General features: G+C 44.7%; 1 pseudogene, besides 1 other annotated feature; it reads right to left on the reverse strand.

Annotated features, from left to right (window-relative positions):
- Nucleotides 3997-4291: a silencer, noted in NCBI's record as "tiled region #4900; K562 Repressive DNase matched - State 8:EnhW". NCBI's record gives its function as "represses a minimal TATA promoter and a strong SV40 promoter by Sharpr-MPRA in K562 cells {active_cell/tissue: K562}" and the evidence as "EXISTENCE:reporter gene assay evidence [ECO:0000049][PMID:27701403]".
- On the reverse strand, nucleotides 7740-8400 carry MRPL11P2 (mitochondrial ribosomal protein L11 pseudogene 2; annotated as a pseudogene).

Consider the following 13540-nt stretch of genomic DNA (forward strand, 5'->3'; position numbering starts at 1 on the left):
GGAACCATCTGATTATTCTGTATAGAATTCATTTCCTAGGCCGGGCACTGTGGCTCACGCCTGTAATCCCAGCACTTTGGGAAGCCGAGGTGGGAGGACTATGAGGTCAGGAGATCGAGACCATCCTGGCCAACATGGTGAAACCCCGTTTCAACTAAAAATACAAAAATTAGCCAGGCGTGGTGGTGTGCACCTGTAGTCCCAGCTACTTGGGAGGCTGAGGCAGGAGAATCGCTTGAACCTGGGAGGCGGAGGTTGCAGTGAGCCGAGATCGCACCACTGCACTCCAGCCTGGGTGACAGAGCAAGACTCCGTCTCAATAAAAAAAAAAAAGAGAAATTCATTTCCTGAGAGCTCCCTACTGCTGATGGACAGAAACACCAAGGAGGGAGTCTCTGGAGCTTCCTTGGAATTTCATCACAAAAAGTCTCCTCTTTGGGGAGTCAGCTTGCTTTGAAGGTAATAACTCCTTTCCTGCCAAAAACAGTTATCTGCAGCACGAAATGTATTACAGAGAGGTAGTATGGTAAACATTGGTGAAAATGGAGGGGTTGGGAGCAGCAGAACTCACTGTAGTGTATAATCACCCTTGTGCCAGCTGCTGATACTTACTGAACACTTACTGTGTCTTAGGGATGGTTCCAAGTGCTTTTCACACATTATCATTTCACTTAGTCCTTAGAACAACCCCCTGAGGTAGGCATTGTTTTTCCAATTTTACTGATGAGAAAACTTGCATAGACAGGTTTATAAGTCACCCAAAGTCACCAAGCTGATAAGTGGCTGACCTGGGGTTTGAACTCCGGTGTCTGTACTCCTAGCCATTCGACCGTACTGCCTCCAGGAGAAGGCTTCTCTCCAGCACAGCCTAAAAATGAGTTAAAAACGTCAGCATTCATTGAGTCCTTATTGTGTTCCTCAGGGCTAGGAGAGATGCCATGGGCAACATTTGGTGTTTCTGAGTGCCAGGGTGGCTCCTAGAGTGTGAATGTTGTGTGTGTGTAAAATATACATAACATCAAATTTACCATTTAATTCATTTTAAATGTACAGTTCAGTGGCTTTAAGATTTTTGTATTATTATTATTATTATTATTATTATTTTTTTGATACGGAGTTTTGCTCTCGTTGCCCAGGCTGGAGTGCAATGGTGCGATCTCGGCTCACCATAACCTCTGCCTCCTGGGTTCAAGTGATTCTCCTGCCTCAGCCTCCCGAGTAGCTGGGATTACAGGCATGCACCACCACGTCCAGCTAATTTTGTATTTTTAGTAGAGACGGGGTTTCTGCATGTTAGCCAGGCTGGTCTCGAACTCCCAACCTCAGGTGATCGGTACTCCTCAGCCTCCCAAAGTGCTGGGATTACAGACGTGAGCCACTATGCCTGGCCTTCTACCACTTGTTAATAGCATGTGCATAAGCTTAGTTATGAGTCTGTTTGAGGCTCAGTTTTCCTATCTGTAGAAATGGAGATGTTGATAACTTCCATTCATTTATTCATTAATTCATTCAGTGAATCTGTTGAGGGCTTACTGTGGGCCAGGCACTGGGGATATAGTGAGAATTCATAGAATTTACAGAATGAGGGGTTAGGAGAGAAAGGGAAGGACCCAGGGGTGAATTACTTTGCAAAGGGAAGAATCATTTGTCTTGGGAGTAATCACTCCCTTACATCATAGGTACACAGTGAGTATACCACTGTGAGCCTGCACTTTATTCCTCTCTATCCCACTATCCAACAGAAGACCTACAAAAACAGATAACGTTATTTAGGGTTCTGGGGTTGTAAGCAACAGAAACTGACTAGCTCAGTTTAACAAGGATTACTGGGAAATGATTGGGATTGCTCCAGAATCAAAAGAAGAGATAAACAATCAGTCCTCAGGGAGGCCCCGAAGAGCCCAGGCAGTGACAGGAATCTCAGCGGCAACTGTTTGTGGCCCAGCCTCCCTTGGGGCTCTTCCTTAGATGGCCTGCTCCAACCTTTGCCTCCCATCTGAGAGTCTCCTGCCCCAACTCCCAATGCCTGATTGCCCCAGCTCAGGGCACGTGGGGCAGGGCTGCTGCCTACAATTACAATTAGGCTTTGTAAACTTCAGGGGTTACCCATCATAGTCATCAGAGGTTTGAACACTCATTATGACAATTGTCTAGCAAATAGCAGTAAAATGTCGTGAGGAATGGTGTCTTTGTTCAAAGTCACCACTGAGGCAAAAAGAGTAAAACTTTATCTAGGACTGAGAGTGAAAATCAACTTGTCCTGGAAAAGAAAACAGCAGGTTAAGAGGACAGAAAAGTTAAAGCCAGCTACAAAGCCGGCAAGAAACATTGTTCCTCCCAATGTCGTAGTGGCTGTGAAATGCTGTAAGGACCCTCTGCAAGTGGCCACTGCTCTCTTACCTATGACCAAAGACAAAGGCAGAAGCGTGCTTTGCTATTCTCATTTAATACTGGGGATAACCAACTGCTCAGCTGCCCTGGCCTCATGACAATGCTCAATCCGTAGTTAATCCTTGCTCTTCTTAATCCCTCATCCAAAACAGCATCCAATCCAGACTGATGCCTGCTTCCCTTCAACCCTCCTTAGAATCCTTGAGCAGGAACCCAAATCTTGCAAGACAGCTGCCCTCCTTCCGGAGATCCTCTGGAGTGCTCCACCTTACTGCTCGGAGGAAAGAAATCTGAATTCCTCAGACTGTAGGCTCATTTCTGGTGGTCTCTGGCTGATCAGGTTTTAAAGAAACTGTCAGGGACTGGAATAGAGGACTGTAATTGGCAGTCCCACCAGAACCATGGGAGAGGGGTAGGCAATTCCCCAAAGGAAAATGGAGTGCTGTCATCAGAAAAAGGTGAAGGTATTGAGCATCCAGACCCAATGGATGGCTCTTGGAGTAGGTGCTCAATTAATCCTAGTTGTTATTCGTGAGGTTGTCTTTTAGAGACACTACAGCAAATTATATAAAGTTATAGATTATAATAATGCATAATAATGATTATTTGCTGCGTGGCAGGCATGATATATCTACTACCTCATTTAATTCTTAAAGCAAACTCACACTTACTTTATAGGTCTCCACAGTTTCTAGGACATGCTTTCTGTATAGGGAGCATCTTCCAGTGTGAGTACTGGTGATGTTCCACTCGTCAGAGGGACACAAGGAAAAGATGGCAGTTGCTATCATCTCAGGATACCATCTCAGTATCTAGGCCAGCCTGACAGCGCTCCTTGGATCCCTGTGGATCTCCGTGGGGCTGTGTGTGAAGTCCAAAGCGGCTTCAGACCCAACTTACTCTGCTGTGGGGCAGGGGACTTGTGCTCTGCTCCAGCAGCACTGACAATAACAATAACTAAAAACACTTAGAGGCTGTTTTACTACATGCCAAGGACTGTGCTAAGAGCTTTACGTGTGTCATCTTATTTAACAGATGAGGAAACCAAGGCCTGAAGATGTTCCTTATGAAGGTCACACAGTTGATAAATAACAGAGCCAGGACTTGAACCAGAAGCTGTCTAGAGCTCATGGGCTAAACTACAGGCTGTATTGCTTGGCTGATCTGCGACCATCTGTAAATGCAGCCTCTTTATAGTTTTTACTTGTTAATTTATGTGCACATTTCATATGTGAATATATTTTTAAGTGAATTAATGTATAAAGCATAATTAGCACAAGGACTTGCTCATGAGACTGTCATTATTATTATGGTTATTTTGAGATGGGATCTCACTCTGTCACCCAGGCTGGTGTGCAGTGGCACAATCATGGCTCACTGTAGCCTGGACCTTCTGGGCTCAAGTGATCCTCCTGCCATAGCCTCCCAAGTAGCTAAGACCACAGGCATGCACCACCACACCTGGCTAATTTTTTTTTCTTTTTTTACTTTTGTAGAGACAGAAGTCTCACTATGTTACTTATGCTGGTCTTGAACTCCTGGGCTCAAGCAGTCCTTCCACCTTGCTTCCCAAAGTGCTGGGATTATAGGCGTGAGCCACGGCACCTAGACAAGACTGTCATTATTATTTCAATTGCAAATGGATGTGTTCTCGACAAATATATAAGCCAAATCCTATTCCGTTTGTAACTTTAGCTTGTGATTCCCGTTTTATCTTCATTGCTCAGCAATGCACTGTTCACCACAGCTCTTAAATGCCCTCTATCTCTTCCCTGAACATCTGCCAAACTGCTCCCTCGCGCTCTTAACGTGGCAAACACTTACAGGCGAGTTCCTGAAAAATAAGAGCACCTCTTAGCAATTCTTTTGGGAAAGGAAGAATCCTGTTGTCACGGGATAGATGTCCTCACCCTCTAATTTTTCCGTTCATAATTTCAGGAATCCTCTCCAGGATTTGAAGAGGAAAAGGTGGAACGGAGTCTGTGATCACTGTTCCACAGACTGGGGAAAGCCCAGGGGAGCCTTTGTCACTGACAGTAGCCAGCATGGCTCAGACTGTAGGCTCCGGCCACCAGCAACACCTTCCCTGTAGGCATCTGGGTAAAGATGCGGGCTCCTTGGCCCACCTTGACTTACCAGAGCCGTATCTCAAGGATGGTGCCCATGACCCTGCATTTTTAGCACATTTCCTAAGCTATAGTCTTATTCTAACATTAATGGGGAGGAGCCTGGGGCAGGACTGCAATCACTGTTAAAGGAGCGAGTATGTTTACAAAGCGCCTCATAGATTACTGCCTTTTTGTAACTGGACCCGCGTTTGTCTGCTCTGCTCTGCTCTGCCATTCAAAAGCCAAACACAAGAGGTGAGGTTTGGTGGGAGGAAAAGCAGGTTTTAATCAGACAGCCAGCAAACCAAAAAGATGGTGAGCTAGTGTTCTAAAATACCATCTTAAATTTTAACATTTACCTTAGGGTTCTTAAGGGGAAACTTGGTGTGGGAGGCATGAGGGAGCGGTGCAGGGTACAGCATCTGTGTGTCTTGTTCCTATGGCTATCTTGGGTAATTGCCTGTTTGGAGGTCTGGTTGGTGTTATCTTGATTTTGGCCTGATGGTGGTGGACTAATTGTTCATGACTCCTCCTAAACAGGAGGATTCCAAAAAGAAAACACAGTGCCTGGTTTCAAGATTAGCCTTTGGGATTTAAGCAAGAGCACAATTAGATAAGCACGTGTAACCAGATGGGGAAGAAACGAAGAGGTGAGAGGGGAAGGAAGGAGGAAAAAGAAAGTGGGTGTTTCAATAGCAAAGACATGGAATCAACCCAAATGCCCATCAACGATAGACAGGATAAAGAATGTGGTACATATAGACCACGGAATACTATGCAGCCATGAGAAGGAATGAGATCATGTCCTTTGCAGGGACATGGATGAAGCTGGAAGCCATTATCTTCAGCAAACTAACACAGGAACAGAAAACCAAACACTGCATGTTCTCACTTGTAAGTGGGAGTTGAACAATGAGGACACATGGACACAGGGAGGGGAACAACACACACCGGGCCTGTTGCGGGAGCGCGGTAGCAGGGAGAGCATTAGGAAAAATAGCTAATGCATGCAGGGCTTAATACCTAGGTGATGGGTTGATAGGTGCCGCAAACCACCGTGGCATACATTCACCTAGGTAACAAACCTGCACATCCTGCTCATGTACCTCAGAACTAAAAAAATTAAAAAAGAAAAGAAAGTGAGCGTTTCGTTTTTTGTTTTTTTGTTTTGTTTCGTTTTCTTGAGACAGGGTCTCCCTCTGTCACCCAGGTTGGAATGCAGTGGTGCAATCTCAGCTCACTGCAACCTTGACTTCCCAGGCTCAAGCGATCCTGCCATCTCAGCCTCCCAAGTAGCTGGGACTACAGGTGCACACCACCACATCTGGCTAATTTTTGTATTTTTTTGTAGAGACAGGGTTTCACCCTGTTGCCCAGGCCGGGAGAGTGGGTGATTTTTAAAACTGAGGTCTCTGGTTACATTTTCTAGGGGTCTGTGATTTCACTCTCACATATCTTCCCTGCACAACTTATTGTCATGGCTTCGTTTATTTTGTTACTGTCAACTTCCTTATTACACTGTGGTTCTAAGACTCCCCCTCTGAAGAATATGGTAGGGGAGCAAGCACTCTCTCTGTTTCTCCTTCCAGAAGGCTGTTTGCACATTATCTAACATCTTCCCAGGCCTCTCAGCCTTTTTCTTACTTCTGGTCTTTGCTGCAGGTGTTCAATTATTGAGCAGGTTGGGAAGGTACCTCTAGAATGTGCAAAAGACCCATACCCCTTGTGAAGCTCAAAGATGAAATTTATATGAAATCAGTTTGTCTTTGGATTTGAGGCACTGATAATTTGTAGCTAATTTAATATGAACTGGACTGAGAGAACTAGAGCCTGTTTGTTTCATCTCCCTGGCTGGCCTTCCCCTCCCTCCTTCCTGTTTGTGTACTTCTTGTCTCTAGCTACTATTGCAGACTTCATTTATCATCTGAGGGTGCCTGAGGTGCCCTGGAGGATGTCACTCCTTCTAGGTGGAGGAGTGAATGCAGAGGGGACCTGTATCTGTGCCTGGCTGTGGGTGGGGGATTAATAAGAGATGCCATATGCATGTGGGAAGAAAGAAAGAAATGCATGTAAAACACCTTGCTACAACTCAACAACAATAACAAAAAACAACCAATTAAAAAATGGGCAAAGTACTTGAGTTGAAGTACTTTGATACACAAATGGCTAGCTAATAAGCACACGAAAAGATACCCAGCATCACTAATCTTTTTAAAAATTTTTTAAAATGTGTTTATTTTTTGAGACGGAGTTTCACTCTTGTTGCCCAGGCTGGAGTGCAATGGCACGATCTCGGCTCACCACAACCTCTGCCTCCCGGGTTCAAGCAATTCTCCTGCCTCAGCCTCCTGAGTAGCTGGGATTACAGGCATGCACCACCATGCCCGGCTAATTTTGTATTTTTAGTAGAGACAGGGTTTCTCCATGTTGGTTAAGCTGATCTCGAACTCCCGACCTAAGGTGATCCACCCGCCTCGGCCTGCCAAAGTGCTGGGATTACAGGCAGGAGCCACTGTGCCCAGCCCTACTAATCTTTACGTAAACGCAAATCCAAACTGCAATGAGATACAAGTCACACCCATTAGGATGGCTACTATCAAAACAACAGCACAGAACAAGTGTTGGCAAGGGTGTGGAGAAATTGGAACCCTTGTGCACTGTTGGTAAGAATGTAAAATGGTGCGGCCATTATGGAAAACAGTATAGCGGTTTGTCAAAAATCAAACAGGTAGCTGGGTGTGGTGGCTCATGCTTGTAATCCTAGCACTTTGGGAGGCTGAGGTGGGTGGCTCACTGGAGCGCAGGAGTTTGAGACCAGCCTGGGCAACGTAGTGAGGCCTTGTCTCTTTTTATTTTATTTTTTATTTTTGAAATGAGTTTCGCTTTTGTTGCCCAGGCTGGAGTGCAATGGCATGATCTCAGCTCACTGCAACCTCCGCCTCCCAGATTCAAGCAATTCTCCTGCCTCAGCCTCCCAAGTAGCTGGGATTACAAGCGTTAGCCACCACGCCTGGCTAATTTTTGTACTTTTACTAGAGATGGGGTTTCACCATGTTGGTCAGGCTGGTCTCGAACTCCTGACCTCTTCTGCCTGCCTCAGCCTCCCAAAGTGCTAGGATTACAGGCGTGAGCCACTGTGCCCAGCCTCTTTTTATTTTTTTTAAGTTAAAAAATAAAAACAAACAAACAGACTTGCCATATGATCTATCAATATAACTTCCTTTTTTTTTCTTTTTTTTTAGAAAAGATGTTTATTCAGGCCTGATGTCTCGATACAGCTAGATGTACAAAAATATATCATTCAAAGTCACGAAAACCATCATCATATTGGTGTGACCTCCTTCCTCCCCTTGGGCACAGCCTTTGCAACTGGCCCCTTCCCAGCTGCCTCCTTTGAAATCTAGGAGTTGGGGGAAAGGGTCACTTCTTGGCAGCTTCCTCCTGGGTGGCCAAATCTGCCTTCTTCTGAGCAGCCAGGAAGATGGCTTGTTCCTTCTGGAAAGCTGCAAACTCTTCTGAACTGAGGCTGTTGGCCGGGCCCCCTTTTCAATCCCAGCTGCTGCCTTCACGAAGTAGGAAACAGTGGGTTGTCCAATCTTGATTTCAAATGTCCCGTCAGGCTTCAGAAAAATCTTGGTAAGCAGAGGAATGCCTTCCTTGATGTCCTTTGTCCTCTCATTGAACTCCTTGCAAAATTGGTTGATGGAAGCCCTTCTCTGACCCAGCACTGGGCCTAGTGGGGGCCCGGGCATGGCCAGGCCTGCCCGCACGATGGTCCGGATCACATCGCCGACCTCGGGCTTCCTGAGGCCCCGGGTGGCCCGGCCGAACTTTGACATGATGTGGGGCTGCTGGCTTTAGTTCACCTCAGGGCCGATCTATCAACATAACTTCTGGGTGCATGTCCAAAAGAATTGAAAGCAGAATCTTGAAGAGGTATTTGTACACTGTTAAAAGAAAAACTTCAGCCGAATTAAATTTAAAGGAGTTTAACTGACCAATGAAGGATTCACGAATTGGGCAGCCCCCAGAATCACAGCCAATTCAGAGAGACTCCAGCACAGCCACGTGGTAGAAGATTTATAGACAAAAAAGGGAAACGATGTAGGGAAATTGGAAGTGAGGTATAAAAACAGCTGGATTGGTTACAGGTTGGCGTTGCCTTATTTGAACACAATTTTAACACTTAGCAGTCTATGAGTGGTTGAAGTTTGGCTGCTGGGACTTGCCAAGACTCAGCTATTGTTACAGGTGCACACTCCTAAGTTAGGTTTTCAATCTTGTCTGCCTATTAAGCTAGGTTACAGTTCATCCACAAGGACTCAAATAGAGAAGTACGGAGTCCTTCTCAGGCCATATTTAGTTTGCTTTAACAACACCTATATTCCTGGCAGCATTATTTACAATACAGGTAGTTAAAACATGGAACTAACCCAAGCGTCCATCAACAGATGAATGGATAGATAAGCAAAATGTGGTACATACATACAATGGAATATTATTCAGCCTTAAAAAGGAAGAAAATTCTGACACATGCTATAACATGAATGAACCTTGAACAGACTATGCTAAGTGAAATAAGCCAGTCACGAAAGGACAAATACTGTTTGATTCATATAGCTGTAGGTCTATGTGTACCTGGAGTAGTCAAATTCATAGAGACAGAAAGTAGAAGGGTGGCTGCTGGGGGCTGAGGGAGGAGAACAGGAGTTATTGTTTAATGATACAGAGTTTTAGTTTGGGAAAATGAAAAAAATTCTAGAGATGGATGGTGGTGGTGATGGTTGCACATCAATGTGAATGTACTTCACCAACTGTGCACCTAAAAATGGTTAAAATGGCTGGGCGCTGTGGCTCACACCTGTAATCCCAGCACTTTGGGAGGCCAAGGCGGGAGGATCACGAGGTCAGGAGATCAAGACCATCCTGGCCAACATGGTGAAACCCCATCTCTACTAAAAATACAAAAATTAGCTGGGCATGGTGGCCGCGTACCTGTAATCCCAGCTACTCTGAAGGCTGAGGCAGGAGAATTGCTTGAACCAGGGAGTCAGAGGTTGCAGTGAGCCGAGTTCACGCTACTGCACTCCAGCCTGGTGACAGAGAGAGACTCCGTCTCAAAAAAAAAAAAAAAAACAGTTAAAATGGTAAATTTTATGTTATGTATATTTTACCACAATTTTTAAAAGTGGAGGCAATAAGAGTACCTACCTCAAGCATTGTAAGTAGTTGCCAGTATTTATTAAGCATTTACTGTGTTGTCAGCACTGTTCCAAGAACTTTAGGCACATATTTATCTCACTTAATCCTTGCACAAACCTTTAAGGTGAATTTATATAGATAAGATATATATCTGTTATATATGATATATAGATATGCTATATCAATATCTCTCTCACATTTTTTTTTTTTTTGCTGTTTCACAAATGGAGAGGCTGAAGTCTAGTGGCACTAATTGTCACTCATCTAGTAAAAGGCGGAGTCAGATATGATACCCAGACCTGGTCTCTGGTGTAGTTTCTTCCTCTTCTTTTTTTTTTTTTTTTTTAACAGCAATAACTTCAGCATCTCTTGTAATTTCTTCCCTTCCTTTCTTCCTTTCTCTTTCTTTCTTTCTTTTCTTTCTTTCTCTCTCTCCCTTTCTCTTTCTTTCTTTTTCTTTTCTTTCTTTCTTTCTTTTTCTCTCTCTTTCTTTCTTTTTTCCCTCTCTCCCTTCCTTCCTTCCTTCTTTCCTTCCTTCCTTCCTTTCCTCCCCTCTCCCCACTCCCCTCCTTTCCCCTCCCCTCCCTTTCCTTTCGCCTCCCAGGTTCAAGTGATTCTCCTACCTCAGGCTCCTGAGTAGCTGGGATTACAGGTGCATGCCACCATGCCCAGATAATTTTTGTATTTTAGTAGAAATGGAGTTTCTCCATCTTGGCCAGGCTAGCCTTGAACTTCTGACCTCAGGTGATCCACCCGCCATGGCCTCCCAAAGTGCTGGGATTACAGACATGAACCACCATGCCTGGCCATTTCTTAGACTAGGGACTTGGCCTTGGCACTGCTGTTTCCCCAGTACCTAAAACTGTGCCTGACACATAGTAGGCTCTTAAAACAATTTGCTGACTGAAAAAGAAACTCCAGAGTGTATTATTGTCTCTCTGCCAAATGGGATAATGCATGGAAAGCACTCTGAGTGGTGCCTGGCTCGTGGTGAATGGTCAGTATATGGAAGTAATGGTCACTGCTGTGATGGACCCATCTGTATAGCAGGGAGCTCTGAGAAGGGATATAAAATTCACCCTCCTCCAGCCCTGTCTTATGAGCCAGGGTGTGGCCCTGGGGGTGACTCTTCCATCCTCAGCCTGGCCCTATGTGTTCCTCCTTCTCAGCCTCCTTCTGCCTTTGTATTGTTTGTTTGCCTCTCTGCTCCCAGTTGCACAGAGTTCCAGTAAGAACAAGGTGGTGGCATCTTTTGGTCCTCCTCTACAGCACCCTGTGTACAGGGCTGGGGGACAGGGCTTCTCTTCCCAGTGAGTTCTGAGAGTGCCCAGAGGAACTAAAGTCTGGGGCAACACCGTTACTTGCTCCGTTTCTTGCATGACCTTGACCTTGACAGCTAGCCTTGGTATCTGACGGTAACTTTATCCAAGTTAGGAAGCATTTCACTCAGAAACAAGAAGAAAAAGAACAAAGAAAAAAAGAAAAGAAAAGATTTCAGAATATTGAAAGGCAATCTAAATTCTTGTTTTTGTTTTGTTTTGTTTTTTGATACTGAGTTTCGCTCTTGTTGCCCAGGCTGGAGTGCAATGGCGTGACCTAGGCTCACTGCAACCTCTGCCTCCTGGGTGCAAGCGATTCTCCTGCTTCAGCCTCCCAAGTAGCTGGGATTACAGGCACCTGCCACCATGCCTGGCTAATTTTTTGTATTTTTAGAAGAGATGGGGTTTCACCATGTTGGCTAGGCTGGTCTCAAACTACTGATGTCAGGTAATCCACCCACCTTGGCCTCCTAAAGTGCTGGGATTACAGGCGTAAGCCACTGCACCCAGCCTGGCAACCTAAATTCTTAAAATGGATTTATGATAGGATTTAAAAAAGAGACTGTCCACTCAAAGTTAGAGTACTGTTCCATGTCTTTTTTTGTTTAACCGTTTAGTATATGTACTTTCCCATGGCTGATGGTCAGCCCTGTGGGCAGCCATTTTGTCTGTGGTCTCAACAAACAGGAAGTTCCCATGTGGGGAGATGCCTGAACTGGGAAGAGCATGGCTCTGGGGATATCACCTGGGTGAGGAGTGGGAGCCTTTGCCCTTTGCCCTAGGAAAACAAAAAGGAAATCTCTACTGTGACTACAAAATAAGCTCTTCTAGAGAAATCTGCACCATTTGCTGTCTTTAAGGTGTTGGGTCTCAGAAAATAACACCCCAAAATGAAGGCCTCAGAAACAACATCAGGAACAAAAGTTTTTCTCTGACCTTCTCCTGCCGTCCTGTCTCCCCAGTCCCATTCTAGCCTTAGAAACTAGGATCCCTCTTCCCTAATGTGATTCATAGCAACCAGAGTCCCTTTTCCCTAAAGCCAGCCATAAAACTTGAAAATATTATTCTAACTTTCTCCCCACTTTTCTGTGTAAAAAACTGGCCGTAAAGAAATGGTCTGACCTACCTTGTTTGATTGCAGGTCATAAGACCCCCATTGTAGAGAGGGTCCTGCCTCACACCAGAAGGAAAGAATGCTGCTCAGAGACGCCAAGAAGAATCTAGACAGACAAGCCTGGCTGGATTATCCCATTCAGTCTAGAGTGTTTATTTATTTATTTATTTATTTTGAGACAGAGTCTCCCCCTGTCACCCAGGCTGGAATGCAGTGGCACGATCTCTGCTCACCGCAAACTATGCCTCCTGGGTTCAAGTGATTCTCATGACTCAGCCTCCCAAGTAGCTGGGACTACAGGCACGCGCCACCATGCCTGGCTTATTTTTGTATTTTTAGTATAGACAGGGTTTCACCATGTTGGTCAGGTTGGTCTCAAACTCCTGACCTTGAGTGATCTGCCCTTCTAGGCCTCCTAAAGTGCTGGGATTACAGCACGAGCCACCATGCCCAGCCAGAGCATATCTTTTTGGTCCAATCGTATTTCTTTTTTTTTTTAATTTTTTTTATTTAATTATTATTATACTTTAAGGTTTAGGGTACATGTGCACAATGTGCAGGTTAGTTACATATGTATACATGTGCCATGCTGGTGTGCTGCACCCATTAACTCATCATTTAGCATTAGGTATATCTCCTAAAGCTATCCCTCCCCCCTCCCCCCACCCCACAACAGTCCCCAGAGTGTGATGTTCCCCTTCCTGTGTCCATGTGTTCTCATTGTTCAATTCCCACCTATGAGTGAGAATATGCGGTGTTTGGTTTTTTGTTCTTGCGATAGTTTACTGAGAATGATGATTTCCAATTTCATCCATGTCCCTACAAAGGACATGAACTCATCATTTTTTATGGCCGCATAGTATTCCATGGTGTATATGTGCCACATTTTCTTAATCCAGTCTATCATTGTTGGACATTTGGGTTGGTTCCAAGTCTTTGCTATTGTGAATAGTGCCACAATAAACATACGTGTGCATGTGTCTTTATAGCAGCATGATTTATAGTCCTTTGGGTATATACCCAGTAATGGGATGGCTGGGTCAAATGGTATTTCTAGTTCTAGATCCCTGAGGAATCGCCACACTGACTTCCACAAGGGTTGAACTAGTTTACAGTCCCACCAACAGTGTAAAAGTGTTCCTATTTCTCCACATCCTCTCCAGCACCTGTTGTTTCCTGACTTTTTAATGATTGCCATTCTAACTGGTGTGAGATGGTATCTCATTGTGGTTTTGATTTGCATTTCTCTGATGGCCAGTGATGGTGAGCATTTTTTCATGTGTTTTTTGGCTGCATAAATGTCTTCTTTTGAGAAGTGTCTGTTCATGTCCTTTGCCCACTTTTTGATGGAGTTGTTTGTTTTTTTCTTGTAAATTTGTTTGAGTTCTTTGTAGATTCTGGATATT

The sequence above is a fragment of the Homo sapiens genome, chromosome 5 (genome assembly GCF_000001405.40).
Source record: "Homo sapiens chromosome 5, GRCh38.p14 Primary Assembly".
NCBI lineage: Eukaryota > Metazoa > Chordata > Mammalia > Primates > Hominidae > Homo > Homo sapiens.